The 21,735-nt window shown below is 36.2% G+C and overlaps 1 long non-coding RNA gene across 1 annotated transcript in view; it reads left to right on the forward strand.

Annotated features, from left to right (window-relative positions):
- LOC105378841 (uncharacterized) overlaps positions 1-20,934 on the forward strand; it is a 57,743-nt gene extending 36,809 nt beyond the window's left edge. The window contains exon 5 of the long non-coding RNA XR_947575.3: positions 19,956-20,934. This is a non-coding gene — a long non-coding RNA (uncharacterized LOC105378841). The remainder of the gene's footprint in view (positions 1-19,955) is intronic.
- The last annotated feature ends 801 nt before the right edge of the window (positions 20,935-21,735 follow it).

The raw sequence follows: 21,735 nt of genomic DNA on the forward strand, positions 1-21,735 counted from the left end.
AGACAGTATAGTGTAGCTACACATTGGATTAGTATTCAGTCATAAAAGTGAAATCCTGTCATTCAAGACAACATGGATGGGCCTACATAATTAAAATGAAATAAGCCAGGCACAGAAAGATAAATGTTCACACATATGAAAGCTAAAATAAGTTGAGCTTATGGAAGTAGAGATTAGAACTGTGATTATTAGAGGCTGGGAAAGGCAGAGGGGAGAGGACAGTAGGGAGAGGTTTGTTAACAGCTACAATATTATAGCTAGATGGGGGAATAAGTTTAAGTGTGCTATAGTATTGTAGGGTGAATATAGTTAACAATAATTTATTGTATATTTTCAAAATGCTAGGAGAGAGGATTTTGAATCTATCTAACACAAAGAAATTATAAATGTTTGAGGTGATGCATGTGAGAAACACGCTCACCTGTCCAAACCCGAAGAACTGACTTAGAGGCACGAAGAACAGTGAAAGTGAGACTTAATAATGGTGTTGCAAGATCGGGCACATGGTAGACAGGCACACATGGGGCAGTTACAACAGGTAATTTATCTCCTAGCATGCAAGTCCCTACCCCAGTTCCTTGATGGTTGAGTACTATGGGGTTAAAATCTTCCCAGACATCGCCTAAGTTTCAATATCCCCCTTATAAGGTTATACTCTCTCCCCTTCCCCGCTTAAGTTTTGATTTCCCAATAACGAAACTTTATTCCCTTTTATGTGCTGACCCCTCATCTACATTCTGTTTGCTTATTGTGACCTTCTAGGTGCATAAGCCATGCGGTTTGTTCCATTTGCCTGCCAGTACTTACATTTATTGTGTCTTGAAAGTGGACCATTTAAAATGTTTTCTCACAATGAATATGCTAATTACTCTGATTTGATCATTACACATTATGTATATGTATCAAAATATCACTCTATGTCCCATAGATATGTATAACTATTATGTGTTAACTAAAAAAAAATAGCCTGACGGTTGTTCTTATATACACTTAAATTTGTTTCTCAATCATCTATTCTGTTCTATTTTCTGTTTATTATAGTAAACTCAGTACTACACTAAAATGACTTATTTATGTTGTGTTTTAACAATGGAGCTAATTCTTTTCCAATACATTGTTTTGGCTCCTATTATTAACTGTTGTGGGAAGTCAGGGACCCCAAACAGAGGGACTGGCTGAAGCCATGGCAGAAGAATATAAATTGTGAAGATTTCATGGGCATTTATTAGTTCCCCAAATTAATACTTTTATAATTTCTTACACCTGTCTTTACTGAAACCTCTGAACATAAATTGTGAAGATTTCATGGACACTTATCACTTCCCTAATCAATACTCTTGTGATTTCCTATGCCTATCTTTAATCTCTTAATCCCGTCATCTTCGTAAGCTGAGGATGAATGTCGCCTCAGGACCCTGTGATGATTGCATTAACAGCACAAATTGTTTAAACAATATGAAATCTGGGCACCTTGAAAAAAGAACAGGATAACAGCGATGTTCAGGGAACAAGGGAGATAACCTTAAAGTCTGGCTGCCTGTGGGCTGGGTGGAACAGAGCCATATTTCTCTTCTTTCAAAAGCAAATAGGAGAAATGTCGCTGAATTCTTTTTCTCAGCAAGGAACATCCCTGAGAAAGAGAATGTGTTCCTAAGGGGAGGCCTCTGAAATGGCCGCTTTGGGAACGTCTGTCTTTTACAGTTGTAGATAAGGGATGAAATAAGCCCCGGTCTCCCGTAGCGCTCCCCAGCTTATTAGGACAAGGAAATTCCTGCCTAATAAATTTTGGTCAGACCAGTTGTCTGCTCTCAAAGCCTGTCTCCTGATAAGATGTTATCAATGACAATGTGTGCCCGAAACTTCATTAGCAATTTTAATTTCACCCTGTCCTGTGATCTCACCCTGCCTCCAACTGCCTTGTGATCTTTTGTTGCCCTTGAAGCATGTGATCTCTGTGACCCACAACCTATTCATGCACTCCCTCCCCTTTGAAAATTGCTAATAAAAACTTGCTGGTTTTATGGCTCAGGGGGCATCACAGAACCTGCCAACATGTGATGTCCCCCTGGACACCCAGCTTTAAAATTTCTCTCTTTTGTACCCTTTCCCTTTATTTCTCAGACCAGCTGACACTTAGGGAAAATAGAAAAGAACCTATGTGAAATATCGGGGGTGAATTTTCCCCAATAATTAACCAATTTTTCTGAGTGAAAATCAGGATCACTTTGTGAATTGCACCAGCACTGGATTTGTACTGGATGTGTGCCAAATATACACTGATTTATAGACACTATTTTTAGTTAACTGCCTTTGTTTTCAATCATGGCTTCTTGCTGTATGTATTCAAAGCTCTTTTTTAGTCTCATTATTATTTGGTAGTTTTCTACATTTCAATTCAAATGTAAATTTCATAATCAATTTGTTGATGTATTAACTTTTTTCCTTTTAAATTTTTCTCTAACGAGCTTTACATATTACATACAATTTACCATCATAACAAGTTTTAAGTGTACAGTTCAGTAGTGTTAAGTGTATTCACATTGCTGTACAACAGCCTAGGGCTTTTCCGTCTTGTGGAACTGAAACTGCAGGCCCAAAAAATCCCCAGCTTCCTAAAATGACCAGCCTCTTTGTAAAAAGATTTCAAGAAGTGACTGCCTTAAACACTTGCTGTTGAAAACAACAGCAAAAGGAAGGTGTTTCTCCTCTGTCCCCAGCAAGTTGCACACACTTCCAGTCATTGTGTTTAAAACGGTTTTGTATAAGGTCTTGCATAAAGAAAAGCTCTTTGGTCAATCCAAGGCAGCTGGAGATGTTGTTTCCTGTGATTGTGATTGAGATTAAAACTGAAATCAATGAATAGCTACTTACATAATAGGCTTATTTCTAAGATCCACTCCTTTACTGTTCTTGTAGAACAATAAGTTGATTTTTAAAAATATAAATCTATAGAATTCTTCATGAGAGCCATCTGCTAATGATTAAATAAACCACTGTACCTGAAGTTGCCTTCAGACCCAATATTCTTCCACTGGGGCTGTTTCAACTGCCAGGACATTTCATGGCATGTGCAGCTGATGCTCTGGTAAAAATTCACCTAAACCTCAGGGTCCTCAAAATGCCTAATTTGATTTAAGCTCATGTCTCTGTTGTGACATATTTTGCCACAAAGTTTCCAAAGCAATGGTGTCTGTGCACTATGTGGAACTCCCATAGGTTTTCTGTAGAATTTCCTTTTCACTTGTAGTGGAATGGCTATTTGGATAATGTATTACAAAAATGTAAAAAATAAGGTTCATTGTTTAATATTAATGTCAGACTCCAAAATTCCTGATAGAGAGGGAAATGTATGTTCTTGGAAACAAACTTGAAATGCATATTGGAGAAGAGGCATAGCTCCAACAATTTAAGTATCAGCAGATACCTAAGCAAGAAAAAATGACTATTAAATTGCTTTGTTAAAAAATTTTGTTTGTTTTGAAAAACAAGGTAGTGAGTAGAGGGAAGAGGATAGAATATAGGAGAGGACAGACTGAAACTAGCAAGGTAGAAGTAGGCTGGGCTCTTGTGGAGTGAAGGGCTGTGGTTACCCTCAAAGTTATGATGGTCAGAGAAATCCTAGGAAGAAAACTTCCAACACTTACATCTTTAACTAATTCTACTACACTCAAATGTGCTTTCTCAATTGTCTTACATTTGGGAGTGAGGGTAGATGAGGCACTATGTCCAATTCTATCTCATGTTAAACTGCCAACCCAAAACTGAGAGGTCTTCTTCATTATGGTTGGGAAAGTCCTATTGGAAAGGATCTGTCAGTGACACAGCATCATCTCAGCTGGCTCTGGAAAACCACCAAATGGCATAGGAATATAACGGAAAACTCTGCATAACCACAGACACCAGAGTTAGACATAAAAGTGAAAGCACTCAAATGTTCATCAAGAGTTGAGCGTTAAATAATTCATGATATATTCATATAATAAACACTATAGAGCAATGAGAACAATTGACCTACAGCTAAACCCCAAAATATCTACCAATCTTACATGTTTATTATTGAGTAAAAGACACTGGATACTAAGAAATATGTACTCTAAGATTCCATTTGCCTAAAGTACCAAAGCAGGATAGTAGTCTTGATGGGTGTAGGAGGAGGTGGTAGAGCATGAAGAGGGCTTCATGGAAACTGTTGTATTCTGAATTTTCTTTGGGTGCTGGCATTCTGAATATATTTAGTTTGCTCAAATCCACAGAGCTGTATATTTATGATGTGTCCACTTTTCTATATGTGTATTTATGCTTCAAAGTAATTTACTTATCTAACAAAATATGGAAATAAATATAACAAAATATGCCAAGGACTATACACTGAAAACTATGCAATATGCCAAGGGCTAATAAATGGTGGAACATATCATGGTTATGGACTGGAAGACTGACTATTTTGTGAGTCTAATTTTTCCACAAATATATCTATATATTCAATGTAATTGCCAGACTTATACATATAGTGAGTTGATTTATGGTAACGATAGTGAAAGGATAATCTTCTCAATAAATGGTGTCAGGCCTTCTATACACGTTAGAAAGAAATAAAACCTGGTTCTTACCCTCCTGACATTAAAAATAAGGCAATTCCAAATGGATTATAGATCTAAATGTGGAAGATAAAACAATCAAACTTATAGAAAAAAAAAGTCAATGACATTATTTTCACATTCTCCAGATTGGGAAACTGATACAAAACTATAATATTAAGTGTAAAAAAAAAAAGTCAATACATTTAACTACATTAAAATTGAGAACTGACAAAGATATAATTAAGAGACTGAAAAGGCAAATCAAAGATTAAAAACATATTATATATATAATTAGAATATGTAATGCAGTCTTCAAATCTACAAAAAAATAGAAGTAAAAGTCTTAAATAAGCTCATCCAAAAGAGGATCTCCTAATGAACAGCAAACATGAACACATGTTCAACTTCCGTAATTGTCTTTTATTCTCAAGGAAAACCAAATTAAACTGTGAATGAAATCTACATGTACCCACTAGAATGACTATAATCCAAAAGGCTGACATATCCAAATGATGGCAAGAATGTAGAGCACTGGGGAGCCTTAATATTGCTGATGAGAGTATAAATTGTGACAATCATATTAAAAATCTATTTGATATTATGTACTATGAGGTGAAAAAATGCATACTATATATTGAATACTTCTACTCCTAAGTATCTGTAGTGAAATATTATTACAGAACCCAAAAGCTTTCACATATATTTTAATACATAATATTGAGTTAAGGAAGTCAGTCATACAGCAAAACATTGTGTATGTTTCAGTTTATATAAAGAATAAAAAGGAGACAATAGCTGGATGCGGTGGCTCACGCCTGTAGTTTCAGCACTTTGGGAGGCCGAGGTGGGCAGATCACGAGGTCATGAGTTTGAGACCAGCCTGGCCAACGTGGTGAAACCCCGTCTCTACTAAAGATACAAAAAATTAGCCGGGCGTGGTGGCATGTGACTGTAATTCCAGCTACTCGGGAGGCTGAGGCAGGAGAATCGCTTGAATCTGGGAGGCGAAGGTTGCAGTGAGCTGCGATTGTACCATTGCATTCCAGCCTGGGTGACGGGGAGAGATTCTGTCTGAAAACAACAACAACAACAACAATAACAACAAAACAGACAGTAACAATCTATGCTCTTCCAAGTCAGGTAAAAGTTTCTGTATTAATTATCTGATATTGCATAAGAAATACCCTCTAAATGTAGTGAACTGAAACGTTTATTGTCTCATAGTTTCTAAAGTTCACAAGAATCTAGGAAGAAGGGGGATAATTATCTTTGTCATATTGCTGAGACATAAAATAAAATGAGGATGGAGAATTGACCATTCGACCTATCAGCATGGAGCAGGCAGGTCATGAGAGGGACTGATTGTGTGGGACTCTTGATATTGAGATTATGGAGGAGGTTTAGTTACTGGTAAGGAAAAGTTTCAGGCTGAGGTGAGATGATAGAAAAGACTTTCAGCTATTAGGAGGTCAAGGAACTGAGAGGCTGGGGAGATGCTTGTCTACCATATCTGAAAGGGCCCAAAGATCAACAAGAGTAATGGTAAGGAGAGAAAGGGTCAGTTGTTAAAATATTCAGTGAATAAAGGCATCCTGGGAGATCCAGGATGCCTAGCACAAAGGAGTTTTGAGTAGTACAGCCTGATGACATGTGCTTCACTTTATGTGTTTGTTTTGTTGTTGTTTTGTGGTTTTCTGGTGGGTTGAGGAGCTAAAGAAAGAGGGTAAGTTATCCGGAAGCAACAATGAAGAGGAAGAAGGGCATTTAATCTGTCACTTCAAGCTCTGTCAAATTAGGAATATGGAGGAAAAGCATGGTGTCAACACTTGAGAAAGGTGCTGGCATATTGCATATGGAAAGCAACTCTGCCAGTCATCAGCTTTGTGAGTTCTCTATGCCTCCTTTCATCATCTTCTCAATAAGCACATCAATACCTAATTCATATTATTTTGTGAGGCTGAATTGGGATAATGTACATAAAAGTCTTAACACATTATTAGAGGCTCATTTTGAACTTTGAAAACTTAGTAACACTTTCAATTAAGTATTAAAACACATTTCCCAAACTTAGTATTTGAATGTATGCTCCTTCTAAAAATGTTTTCAGAGCACAAAATATGTAATAATGTTATCTTTTATGTTGGTATCATTAGTACTTTGCCTAATGTCTCTTTTGATATTTCACATATGTCTATAAAATGTCTATTCAGGATGAGAGGACATAAAATAAATTACATAGCATTTTGTATCTGTATAAAATAAATATGGTCTAAATAAGTATTGTCAGAATACTATGCAGCCATAAAAAAGATTGAGATTGTGTCCTTTGCAGCAACATGGATGGAGATGGAGTTCATTATCCTAAGCAAACTAACACAGGAACATAAATCCAAATACCACAAGTTCTCGCTTATAAGTTGGAGCCAAACATTTATTACATAGGGACACAAAGAAAGGAACAGCAGACACCAGGGCCTTCTTGAGGGTTGAGGGATGAGAGTGAGGGTTGAAAACTACCTATCAAGTACTATGCTGATTACCTGGGTGATGAAATCATTTATATACCAAATCCCTGTGACATGCAATCTACCTATATAATGCTTGCACATGTACCCCTGAACTTAAAAGTTGGAAAATAAATAAAAATAAATGTTGTCAGACCATGCTTTATTGACACCATATACTAAGCAAATGACTTAACTGTTTTTGTCTAGTGTTCATACTGTAAGAAAAAGCTAAATAAAGAGGATAAATGATTTGGAAGCAAAAAATAAGAATAAAGGGCATCAAATCTGTGACTCTGAGCTTTGTCACATCAGGAATATGGAGGAAAAGCATGGTGTCACCACTAGAGGGAGGTGCTGTCATATCACATATGGAAAGCAACTTTGCCACTCCTCAGCTTTGTGAGCTCTCCATGCCTTATTCCATTGTCTTCTCATTGAGCACATCAATATCCAGTTTGTATAGTTTAGTGAGGCTGATATAAGATAATGTACATAAAAGTCTTAGCTCATTTTGAACATTGAAAATGTAACACTGTCAATTAATTATTTAATATCAAGATACCTTTCCCAAACATATGTAAATATATGCTCTTTCTAAAAATGTTTTCAGAGCATAAAATTTGTTATAATGTGTAAATGTGTGATCTTTTATTAAGGAATTTTTTTGCCAATCATTTACATATTCCGCAGTTTGAACAGAGGAGTGTAAAGCAATTCCAGCAGCCGCAGCAGTACCTGTGACTGTAATAAGGCCCATAATGACCGTTATAAGGGTAAAAATAAATCTTTTTGTTTTGGTAAACAGTCCCCTTAACATTTCTGTGACAATATGAATGGAAGGAGAGGCTCCCCAAGGTCTATTGAGGGAAACCGGTATCCAAACTCCTTCTCTAGCCCTCACCAGCAACACAGATGTTTTTACACCAAATGTGCAATCAATACAGATGAAAAGGCAACAGTTTTGACAAGTAATGGTTTGAGAATTTGGTCGAATATTAATATTTCTGACAATTAACATTAAAGGAGGCTTGACACAACTCTGAATGGGTATTGTTTGGCTGGAACAAAACTGATACGTAAATTGATGTCTCCCACCTTCTCCATTAATATAATTTTTTTTTCCAAACCCGAATATGAGATTGGGCCATCATTAACTTTCATAATTCAGGATGTTTAGGGTCTATGATTGGATTACTCATTTTTGGATGTGGGTCGGCCATACCAAAATTGGTCCAAATTATGGGAAAATGAGCACGTTTTTCAGTGTAAATGGTGTCATCTCTTTGATAATATAGTTCTTGGTTTAGTCCTATCTTGCATCTATCATTCTGATTGGTACAATTAACTGCAAAGGTCCCCTTAGGGGCCCAATCAATGATGATTCCATAGGGATTATTTTGCAGTACCACAGTGTGATCAGTGATGCAATCCTTCCAAATCAATGTTTCTAAATCCTTTGACCATTATTGAGGTTGTTGACACCTCTCTTTTCTGGGCTTAAACTGTTCCAATTGAACCAAACTTTGTAAAATAAATGACAGGATACTGGTCTTTGATTATGACCTGGAATCTTAACTAGCCAATGTTGTCGGTAGCCTTTTAGGCAACAGATAGCCAGCCCTATGCAAACAGGGGGGAATTGATAACCCACGGACACATTTATTAACATTCCTTCCTCCTCTGGGTGAGAGGGCCCACGAGAATCTGTAGGCTCAGGCATCCAAACACTACTATGAACGTAAACCTCAACCGGGGTTTCCAACCATGTGACAGGCCTAATTAAAGGCAGGAATGGGACATATGCCCAATAGGCATAATTAGCTGCAGTTGCTCCTGCAGGCCTGGGGAGACTTACCACCGTTGACACAATCATCAAGGCTGCAAGCTGCATATTCTCTGGAGTTTGGATTACCCTTGTGTTCTTTAGGCTTTTTTCAGCTAACTGTGTCAGCTTCTTTAATTGTGCCCAAGTCGGCGGCTCCGCTTTCTTGGTGGATGACAACTTTATCTGTAAGTTGTAGGTACCTAAACTGGAAGGTGTTTTTTTCCTGGGGAAATACAAGCAAAACCTCTCCCACATGTCATCACTTTCCGTGTTTCCCATGTTTTATTTTTATTATCTTTCTACCAAATCAGTTTTCCTTCATGTGGGCTGTTCCTTTTACCAGTTAGATGTTCTGCAGGGGTAATGGTCTGATTTCTATAAATGTTCAAAAAATTTAAAGTATAGAGTATTAGATTAAGTTGCATCTGGGGAGTGTTAATACTCCTTACTGTTTCTTCCTTTTTTTTTTTTGTTTAACCAATTGAGCTTTCAGTGTTCTATTAGTTCTTTAAATTATGGCCTGTCTTTGGGAATTATAGGGAATTCCTGTTTTATGTGTAATTTTTCACTGATTTAAGAATTTTTGAAAAGCTTTACTACAGTATCCTGGCCCATTGTCCATTTTAATTTTTTTTTTTAACTCTCATGACAGCAAAACAAGATAATAAATGTCTTTTAACATGGGAAGTACTTTCTCCTCTCTGGCAGGTTGCCCATATGAAATGTGAATAAGTATCAACTGTCACATGGACAAATGACAATTTTCCAAATGAAGGTACATGCGTGACATCCATTTGCCATAACACATTAGGACTTAGACCTCTGGGATTAACTCCTGCCTCCTGAGTGGGCAGGTGTAGAATCTGACACCGGGTGCAATCTTGTACAATATTTTTTGGCTGTTTCCATGTGATATCAAATTTATTTTTAATCCTGCTGCATTTACATGAGTCAAGGCATGAAGTTCTTGTGCTTCCATGAATGCAGATGATACTAGCAAGTCAGCTTGTTCATTTGCTTTAGCCAAAGGCCATGGTAAATTAGGGTGTGCTCGAATATGAGTAATACAAAATGGGAAATTTCTTTTTCTTACAGTTTGTTGTAACAAATTAAACAGCTCGTTTAACTGATAATCCATACTATATTTGAGTAGGGCTGTCACATGGTTGGAACCTCCGGTTGAGGTTTATGTTAATAATAGTGTTTGGATGCCTGAGCCTACAGATACTTGTGGGCCTCTCACCCAGAGGAGGAAGGAATGTTAATAAATGTGTCCATGGGTTATCAGTTCCCTCCTGTTTGCATAGTTCCCTTGGCTGCGGGTGGGAGGTCCCCGGCTTCTTGCACTTCCTGGGTGAAGCAACGCCCCACCCTGCTTCTGTTCGCCCTCAGTTGGTTGAACCCACTGCTTAACCGTCCCAATGAGATGAACTGGGTACCTCAGTTGGAAATGCAGAAATCACTTGCCTTCTGCGTGGGTTTCACGGTGCTGCAGACCGGTGCTGTTCCTATTCGGCCATCTTGGTCCCTCCCCTCAACTGGCACTCTTTAAATAATAAAAATCTTATGAGAATCATCAAACCGTTTGCTGAATTTGATCCATTCTCTCATGAGTACTTGGAAAAATGGCAGTGTGTGAAAATAAATATGACAATTGTATCCAAAATAAATTATGAAGACTTAATTGAAATAGAAATAGGCACATAGAAAGTGAAATGTTAAATAAATAAAGCAGGTTCTAAAAACTACTTCCTTATTAGATTTTATACCAGATTGGATAAATACTGATCCTTGATTCTTACAAGCTAACACTATTACAAAAAATCTTGAAATATTTTTTCTAACTCAAATTATTTATCTGACTATATTCAACAAATGAAACAAATTCTAGTTGATTGTAACATGCCATTGAACAGGATTTGTGGGATTAGTCTGACTCTGTGCTATGATAATATAGCTATTATGAAAAGTAAGGATTAAAGATGTGTGCACTCTTTAAAAACATCACTAAATAAACAGAATGTGCTATATGGATCTTATTCTCTTTTATAAGGGAATAAGCTGACCTCATAGTACTGAAAATGTTAAATACTAAGGTATTTTCAAGTTATATTTTCTTTTTGGATTCATCATGAAGAAGAGTGTATTATGCACACAGATCAATGTGCATTTTCTTAATTTTTATTCTTTATGGATACATAATAGTTGTATGCATTTATGGGTTACATGTGATATTTTGATACAAAAATAAAATATGCAATGATCAAATCAGGATAATTGGGATATCCTTCACCTCAAGCATTTATCATTTCTTTGTGTTCGGAATATTCCAATTCCACTCTTTTAGTTTTTTGAAATATGGGTACAAAAATATAGTTAGAAGAAATAAGATTAATGTTGTTAAAAATAGTTTAAATGAAATGTCTACTTGTGATGACAAAGGGAAGGAAATATAAAATAAGTGGTAGGGGAGGGATAGGATGAACGTCAATTCTGCCTTTGATTGAAGTTGCAGGAGCAAACTGTGGTATGTGCCACCAACTCCTGTGTATTAAGTTTTTTGTAGAACTGTAGCTGGTTATGAACTTGAGGACTTGGTAACAGACTGAATTTAATGTAGGGCAGGCACAGTGATCAGAGTGCTGAAGGGGTGAACTGTGTCAGATGCATCTGATACACTGACTCATCCTCTCAATGTCTCCTCTCATCCCAGCTGTGACTGGAATGGAGAGTTCAAAGGAATTCAAGCTGATAGCATCTTGCTTTAGGACAGATGTTTCTTGTCTTTCTGTTCAATCCTAAGGCCATTTCTATACAACGGACACTTTTTTTTTTCTGTATTAAGAGTCTGTTTATTTCAGTATTAAGGTAAAAGAACCTAGTTATAATAAGTGTTTTTCATATCTTTCTTCATCATTCTCACAACAAATATATGAGAAGAATGACGCTTAAAAGGTATGTAACTTTCTGAGGTGAGGCAACTAGTAGGTTGTAGAATTGGTTTTTGAATGCAGATTTCTCTCCTTCTTTCTCCACTGTTCTTTCTCACCCTTGTTTGCACTAGTGATCCTATCTTCTTTCTACAGCAGCAATATTTATTTTAACAAACCTACATAATTTATAGACCACGCTAATTTTTTTGTCTTTAAAGTAGTAACTTTGTGTGAATATTCCAATAATATTATTTTTTATAAAAGAAATTTAGGGCACCCTTCAGCGTTTACCTTCAAAGGCAGGTTATGAGTCCTGGGAGAAGAGTTTTACTTCATATCTTGTCACATTGTATATGTCTAAAATTGATGGTGAATTGGTTACTGACAATTATCATAAAGTTTGGTAGTGGATAATTTAAAAAGATTCTTAATGGATAAAAGATATGAGACATCTCCGTTGACTTTAGGGAAAAAAAAGTGTGTTAAGGGCTCTTAAGGCTATTTAAGAAAAAAGCTTGAAGTGTGATATCATAGCATTTCAGAACTGAAACAGATCTTTGTCTGTCTTCTTTTTTCAGCCCAAAGATACTTTTAAGTGGTTTAAAGATAACATACAGATTATCACATTAGAAACACAAAGTTATTCAAGAAAATGTTCACCAAAAATATTTTTTTCTGTGTTTACACATTCATAAGACATTTAATTCCAAGAAGGAGATTTAATGTCTACCACTAGAGCTAATGAAACAGTGAAGACAGATTTCTATTTAATCCCCTTGAACTAAAGAAAGCTATTTTTTGGTGTTTTCTTTCTTTTTACTTTAAGTTCTGGAATACATGTGCAGAACCTGCAGGTTTGTTACATAGGTATACATGTGCCATGGCGGTTTGCTGCACCTATCAAGTATTCCATGGTGTATACGTGCCACATTTTCTTTATCCAGTCTATCATTGATGGGCATTTGGGTTGGTTCCAAGTCCTTGCTATTGTAAATAGTGCTGCAATAAACGTATGTGTGCATGTGTCTTTATAGTAGATTGATTTATAATCCTTTGGGTATATACCCAGTAATCACAGAAACTTTTATTCATCAAGGACTTATTTTGAGAAATGAGATCAGCGAGATGATGAAATATATTTCAGGCTTCACTCTCTCCTTCAGAAATTTCAACTAGCGATTAACCATAGACTGGAAGATGTTTGTGAAAGTCCCAGTACAGTACTTGGAAACAAGCCTAAAACACCTGAGGGTCCACAGAACTGAGTAAAACTGAATTAGAAGGGTAAGAAAAATGGTCTCACTTTGACCACGCTGCCCCTCCTATTCCCTCACGTCAGCACAATACCACACAGAGGGGATTCCTTGGGTCCATTTTGTTTTTTGTTTTTTTTTTTTTTTTTTTTTTTTGAGACAGAGTCTCTCTCTGTCGCCGATTCTGGAGTGCAGTGGCGCGATCTCGGCTCACTGCAAGCTCCGCCTCCTGGGTTCACGCCATTCTCCTGCCTCAGCCTCCCGAGTAGCTGGGACTACAGGCGCCCGCCAGCATGCCCGGCTAATTTTTTGTATTTTTAGTAGAGACGGGGTTTCACCGTGTTAGCCAGGATGGTCTCGATCTCCTGACCTCGTGATCCGCCCGCCTCGGCCTCCCAAAGTGCTGGGATTACAGGAGTGAGCCACCGCACCCGGCCTGGGTCCATGGTTTTTACAGAGGAAAAAGAAAATTGGAGGTGGTCTGTCAGCTTCCCTAGCATTCTGAGAGTCTTCCCAAGTTCACTCTGGTCTAACCACATGGAAAACACTGAGAGTAGCAGTCTTTGGTGGTACCTCTGTGTTCCTGCCAGCTGTGTTACCCAATTGGAGATATCAGCCACCAGCATAGCCCATGCATAAAGCTGAGCTGGTTGCTTTTAGAAGCACGGTGTGTAGTTCACAGTGACCAGCTTGCAGTCTTTGGTGGTACTTCTGTTTCTGCTAGCTGTGATGCCCAGTTGGAGATATCAGGAACCAGTGTAGCCCATGTAGAAAGCTGATCTGGTTGCTTTCAGAAGCCTGGTGGGACGTTCAAACTGGCTTGAGTCCCTAGATGGCTTGTCTTCAAGCCCATTATCAGAGCCGATCCCAAAGACCTGCCTAGGCAGGGAGACACCATCTTCTGTGCATTTTGGTGAAGAATAACAGCTAGTTTTGCTTAACTCAGGAGGACAAACAGTGGTTCCACTCAGCCAGAACGCCTTCCCCATGGTCTCACCCAAGGGAAAAGATGCCCACCTTGCCTATTTAGGGGAAGCATGTGAGCTATTTTTAAATAAAACTATTAATAACAACTACAGCTAAAATACATTATCAAGGGATACGTATTACAAAATGATGAAAATTCTGACATCCAAAACAAAATGTGTGTATGGTGGGGTGAGTAAAGTTAGAGTTGTCGCATGAAATCAAAGTTGTTATCAGCTTGAAATAGACTGTTATAAGTTAAATGTTTTATATTCATAGTAATCACAAAGCAAAAGTCTGTAATAGATGCACAAAACAAAAACAAATGATTCAATACATACTACTACATAAATTCATGAAAACTCAAAGAAAGACAGCAATAGAGGAAGAAAGAAACAAAAAGTATTTCCAATAATGATGGAGATGTTTATGATTATCCACTTCTACTTAATGAACAGTAAATAAATTTTTCTTCTTTATTATTTTCTTAAAAAAATTTAAGAGACAGGGTCTTACCATTCCCACGGCTGGAGTACAGTGACATAATCAGCTCACTGCAGCCTTGAACTCCTGGGCTCAAGTAATCCTCCTACCTCAGCCTCCCAAGTAGCTAGGACTACAGGCACACACCTTTGTACCCAGCTAATTTTTTTTTTCTTTGTAGAGAAGGGGTCTTGCTTTGTTGGCCAGGCTAGCGTTGAACTTCTGGTTTCAAGAGATCCTCCCATCCTGGCTTCTCAAAGTGTTAGAATAATAGGCATAAGCCACCATGTCCCCCCTTCTTATGATTTTCTTAATAACATTTTGTTTTCTCTAGCTTACTTCATTATAAGAATACAGAATATAATACGTATATAAAAATGGGTTAATCAATTCTTTATATTATTGGTAAGGCTTCTGGTCAATAGTAGGATATTAGTAGTTAAGTTTTGGGGAAGTCAAATATTATACATAGATTTTTGTTTGTGTGGTGAGACGGTGTCCATAGCCCTTGTACTGTTGAAGGGTCAACTATATATTCACTCAACATCAAAGCATCTAAATGTATAAAGCAAATATTAAATGATCTGAAGGTAGAGAAAGATTGCAATACAATAACAGTAGAGGACTTTAGTGCTCCGGTTTCAACAATGGACAAATCATCCAATCAGAAAATTAAGACTGAAACATTGGACTTGAATAATACTTCGGACCAAGTTAACTTAATAAACATATACAGAATATTCCACCTAACAGCAACATAACACATATTCTTCGCAATGACACATGGATCATCACTAAAATAGATCACACATTAGGCTACAAAACAAGTCCTAACAAATTTAAGAAATTTTAATCATACCAAGTATCTTTTCTGACAATAATGGTATAAAACTAGAAGTCAATAACAGGAATAATTTCAGAAAATTCCCAAATACATAGAAATCAAACAACATGCTCCTGAACAACCAATGGGTCAATGATCAAATTAAAAGAGAAATTTAAAAATATCTTGAGACAAATAAAAATGGAAACACAACATATTAAAACTTATGGAATCCAGCAAAAATAGTTCTAACAGAAAAGTTTATAGAAACAGAAACCATATCAAAAAAAGATCTATAATAAACAACTCAATGTTACTCCACCAGAAAGTAGAAAAAGCAGAATAAACTAAGCCCAATGTAAGCTGAAGGAATTAATAAAGACCAGGCAGAAATAAATAAAATAGAAACTAGAAAAGCAATATAAAAGATCAATAAAACTAAGAATTGGCTTTTTAAAAAGATAAAGAAAATCAACAAATATTTATCTATACTAAAAAGAAGAATCAAAATCACAACGAAAGAAGAGACATTACAACCTATAGTACAGAAATACAAGGGATCAGAAAAGACTACCATGAACAACTACATGCCAAAAAAGTGGATAACCTAGGAGAAATGGATACATTCCTAGACACATGCAACCTACAAATATTGAATTATGAAGAAACGGAAAACCTTAATAGACCAATAACATGTAAGGATATTGAATCAGTAATAATAAGTCTCCCATCAAAGAAAAGCCCAGGATGTGCTGTCTTTAATGTTGCATTCTACCAAACGTTTAAAGAAGAAATAATACTACTTCTTCTCAAACTCTTCCAAAATATTGAAGGGAAGGGAATACTTTAAAACTCTTTTTACAAGTCCGGCATTACCCTGATACCAAAGTTGAACAAGGACATTACAAGAGAAGAAAATTATAGGCCAATATCCTTGATGAATACACATGCAAAAGTCCTCAACAAAATATAAACAAACCAAATTCAACAACACATTAAAAGTATCACTCAACATGACCAAGTGGGATTTATCCCTGAGAAGTAAGATGGTTCCATATATGCAAAACAATAAATGTGATACATCTCATCAACACAATGAAAGACAAAAGCCATATGATCATTTTATTAAATGCAGAAAAAGTATTTGATAAAATTCAGCATGCTTTCATAATGAAATTCTCAACAAAGTAGGTATAGAAATAATGTAACTCAATACCATAAAGAACATATTAATATACCATAATCCTGTAGCTTACTTTATACTCAAGCATGAAAAATTGAAAGCCTTTTATCTAAAATCTTGCACAAAACAAGGATGCTTATTCTCACCATTTGTATTCAACACAGTATTGGATGACCTTGCTAGAGCAATTAGGAAAGAGAAAGAAATAAAAAGCATCCAAATAGGAAAGAATAAAGTGAGATTTTTTCTGTTTGCTAATTATTCTATGTATGTATACCTAAAACTTCAGCAAGACACTATCAGAAGTAATAAATAAATACATTAAAGTTTCAGAATACAAAATCAACATCCGAGAATTAGGTAGAATTTCTATATATTATCATCAAACTATCTAAAAAAGAAACCAAGAAAATAATCTCACTTATGATAGCTACAAAAATAAAATAAAATAAAATAAAATAAAATAAAACAAAATACTTAGAAATAAATTTAACAAAGGAGGTAAAAGACTTGTACACTAAAACCTTAAAAAATGTTGATAAAAGAAATTGAAGAAGACATAAATAAATGGAAAAATATTCCATATTCATGGATTGGAAGAATATGGTTAAAATGTTCAGATTGCTACCCAAAGTGATCTACAGGTTCATTGCAATTCTTATCAAAATTCCAATGTCTATTTCACAAAAATAGAAAAAAATCCTAAAATTTACGTTGAGTTACAGAAAACTCCCAAATAGCCAAGGAAATCATGATCATAAGAAACAAATCTGGAGGTATCACACTACCTGACTGCAAACTATACTACAAAGCTATTGTTATTAAAACAGTATGGTACTGGCCTAAAAATAGACACTTTGCTCAATGGAACAGAATAGAGGATCCAGAAGTGAACCCACCCATGTACAGTCAATTCATTTTCAACAAAGGTGCTAAGAATACACAGTTGAAAAAGAATAGTCTCTTCAATGAAGAGTGTTGGGAAAGCTGAATATCCACACGCAGAGGAACAAAATTGGACCCTTATCTCACACCATATAACAATGAACTTAAAAAGGAGTAAAGACTTAAATATAAAACTTGAAATTGAAAAGTGACTAGAAGAAAACGTGGGACAAATGATATGACATTGATTAGAACAATGATTTTTTTAATTTTACTCACAAAATTCAGGCAACAAAAACAAAAATAGACAAATAAGACTACATCAAACTAAAAGCTTCTATACATAAAGTGAAACAACGAACAGGGTGAACAAACAACCTATGGATTGGGAGAAAATATTTGGAAAGCATGTATCTGGTAACATCTTAGTACCCAAAACATATAAGACAATCAAACAGCTCACTAGCAAGAAAACAAATAATCCAATTTTAAAAATGGGCAAGGAACCTAAATAGACATTTCTCAAATGAAGACATACATATGGCCAATAGATACATGAAATAATGCTCACCATCACTAATCATCAGAAAAATGCAAATCAAAACCACAATAAGATATCACCTCACACCTGTCAGAATGGTTATTATCAAAAAGATGAAAGATAACAATTGTTGGTGATGATATGGAGTAAAGGGAACCCTGATACACTATTGATGGGAATGTAAATTAGTACAGTCATTAAGAAAAACGATATGGATGTTTCTAAAAAAATCAAAAAATAGAATTACCATATGGTGCAGCAATCCCACTTTTGAGTCTGTATCTAAAGAAATTGAAATCAGTACATTGAAGAGATGTCTGCACTTCCATGTTCATTGCAGCATTTATTCACAATAGCCAAGTTGTGGAATCTACCTAAGTGCCTCTCAACAGATGGATGGATAAAGAAAATGTGGTATATATACACAATGGAATATTATCCAGCCTTAAAAACAAGTCATTTCTGCCATTTGAGACAACATGGATGGAACTGGCAAAATGAGCCAAGCGAAGACTGACAAATACCACACATTCCCACCTGTATGTGGACTCTAAAACAACTGAATTAATAGAAGCAGAGAGTAGAATGGTAGTTACCAGAATGTGAGCGTGGGAGAAATGGAGAGATGATGGTTAAAGGATAAAGAATTTAATTTAGACAGGAGTAATTAGGTTTTGTGTGGTTTTTTTTTTGACATTTATTGCACTGCATGGTGAATATGGTCAATAATGGTATATTGCATATTTCAAACTTGCTAGGTGAGTAAATTTCAAATGTTCTTATCACAAAAATGACAAATATTTGAGGCGATGAGTATGTTTATTAATTTAATTATTCCACATCGTATTCATGAACATAACATTACTTAGCACTTTATAAATATATACAATCATACATTGTCAATTTACAATAAGTTTTCTTATTAAAAAAATTTAAAGTACTTATTTTAATGTCAGTTATGTACAATAGATTTTTTTTTAATAATGGCTAGAGAGTTGTTCTTATTTGTATTGAAATGTTTTCTGGATCATCCATTTAGTCCCATTGTCTGCTGATTTTTATTATACTCAGTGCCATACTTTAAAATGATTATAATTTACATTTTGTTGTGTTATCTGGTACTATAATTTTTTCCAATACATTGTGATATGGTTTGGCTCTGTGTCCCTGCCCAAATCTCATCTTGTAGCTCCCATAATTCCCATGTATTGTAGGAGGGACCTGGTGGGAGATGATTGAATAATGGGGGCAGGTCTTTCCCATGCTGTTCTTGTGACAGTAAATGGGTCTCATGAAATCTGATGGTTTTAAAAATGGGAGTTGCCCTGCACAAGTTCTCTCTTTGCCTGATGCCATCCATGTAAGATGTGATTTGCTCCTCCTTGCCTTCCGCCATGACTTCCCCAGCCACGTGGAATTGTAAGTCCAATTAAACCTCTTTCTTTTGTAAATTGCCCAGTCTTGGGTATGTCTTTATCAGCAGCATGGAAACAGACTAATACACATTGTTTTGGCTCATCCTTCCATTTTTGAACAGAAACTAGGATCATATTATGAAGTTCCTACAAAATTTTCATTGGCATTGTATTGGATACAGTAGGCCAATATAAATTGATCAATAGATATTTAATATTTTTACTTCTTTGCTTTCACTTTAGATCATGGTCTGTTGCTCCATTTATTCTAAACCCTTTTTTTAGTATTGGCAGTTCTTCTATGTTTGTATTCAAATTCACATTTTATGATCAATTTATAGATGTATTTAAACATTTTAAATTTATATTTGATTGAAACTTTCCAGTGAATTTTTTAAACTAGATATTGTTGTTCTATAATGGAATGACTTCAACCGGGAGCCTAAGGCAGATTCTGTCATGTAGAGTTCCATGAGCATATGTAGTATTTTTAAATGAATTAAATTTGCATAATTTTTGACATGGCATTACCGTTCAGTTCAATTCTCTGTTATCTTACAGATAGTCCACGCTTTTGGACTTACAGATAGTGTATTGGACTTTTCTGGCCTCACAGAGTGGTGAGTTTTCAGTCCTCATGGAACTGGCATCCATTAGGACAAATTTTGCTATGGGTCAGTCACCAATAAAACCAGATGAGCGTCTTCTTCCATTTAAATTTTTGTCCTCAGAGCCCAGGCTTCATCCATAGAACATTTTTTTTTTCTAATGTTCTTCCTGCTGGATAGTGAAGATTACTGGGTCTACATTTGGAGAGGGTCAGCTTTCAGGTTGGAGGCACCAGACATGAGGTGCACAGGCATTACCTTCTTACAGACTGTCACCAGTCTCATGAAGTCATCTTGTTACTGCAGCTTGGACCCTGATTTCTTGGCTCGTGTGTAAATAGAAATTAACACTGGACCAAACAGAAATTTTTATCAGGCAACATTTAATAGGCTTGCAGCCTGAGCAAGTCAAGGGAGCAACATACAGGAAAGGGATCCCCGCTGCTAGCTCTCCAAAGGGCTTAGCTCTTGTCATTTAAGGAAGTTGAGGAGAAAAATAACTGATATGTAGGCATGTAGAGGTGGGGAGTTTTTAGCACCAAAGATGACTCGGTCCTTCAGAAGTCACTCTGAGGAACATTTGTCTTGAATAAAACTTCATTTTAGAGGCACCTTCAAAAAGAAAGAGTATAAAATTTCTCTGGCCCAGTGGGTAGCACTTTTGGTTGATATGCAGAAGTCTCCAAATGCAATTCTGAATAAAAAACTGCTTCACTAACAAATTCATTGGTCAAAGCCAATGAGCAATTTGAAAAAATTAAGTAGTAACAAATGACTAATTTTATTAGTAAATCCTGCTCTTCTTTGCCTACATCTACCTCCCCATATTCAGCTTTCTCTATTCCCCCTTATATTTCTGATTTCCCTGCTTCAACACCTCATACTCCTTCCTCCTCTTACTCAGACCTCTAGCTTTTCCCAACTCTCCTGAAACCCCCAAATGCCAAGGACCTCTGATACAGGTCACATTTGACAGTTTACTTTAAAAGTAAACGGGCTTCCAAAGGTACCCATGTTGGGGAGGTCTTGTAATTCATGGCAACATCCTGTCCCTGAGTAAAAAATACTAACATGAAGAGTCCTCTTCCCTTCTTCTAAACTTTCCTATATGTTCCTATAAAAGCCTTCCAACTTGTAGCAGATTCTGGAAAACTCCCAACTGTGTTGGTATGTCTTCCAGGATTTATCCTCATATTTGTCTTCCAATATACTTTTATCAAATTTTTTGTCTCAGCCTTATTTTGGTGGATACTTCTAAAAATTCTTTCTCATGATCCAGGTACGAAGGGAACTATAAAGTTTAAACTTTGTACTGAATTAAGCTGAATTAAGAACTCTAATAAAAGATTTCCCTAAACTCAAATAAGGTTGGCAAATATTCATAGAATTTAGAATTCTTTTGGATGAACATGACCCAGGGTTACCTGATTGTTATAGATGGAATGTTTTTGCTTTGTTCCCCCAAACTCAACTGTTGAAGCCCTAACTTCCAGTGTGACAGTATTTGGAGATGGGCTCTTTGGGATGTAATTAGGGTTAAATTAGCTCATGAGGGTGAGGACATCCAGATGGAATTAATGACCTTATTAGAAGAAGAAGAGATCTTTCTCTTCTTGTCTGTGAAAAAGCAGAGAGGAAAGGCCAGATGAGGACACAGTAAGTAGGCAGCCATCTGCAGCCCAAGGAGAGAACACTTCCCACCCTCTAGAACTGTGAGAAAATAAATTTCTGTT

The sequence above is a fragment of the Homo sapiens genome, chromosome 1 (assembly GCF_000001405.40).
Source record: "Homo sapiens chromosome 1, GRCh38.p14 Primary Assembly".
Lineage (NCBI taxonomy): Eukaryota > Metazoa > Chordata > Mammalia > Primates > Hominidae > Homo > Homo sapiens.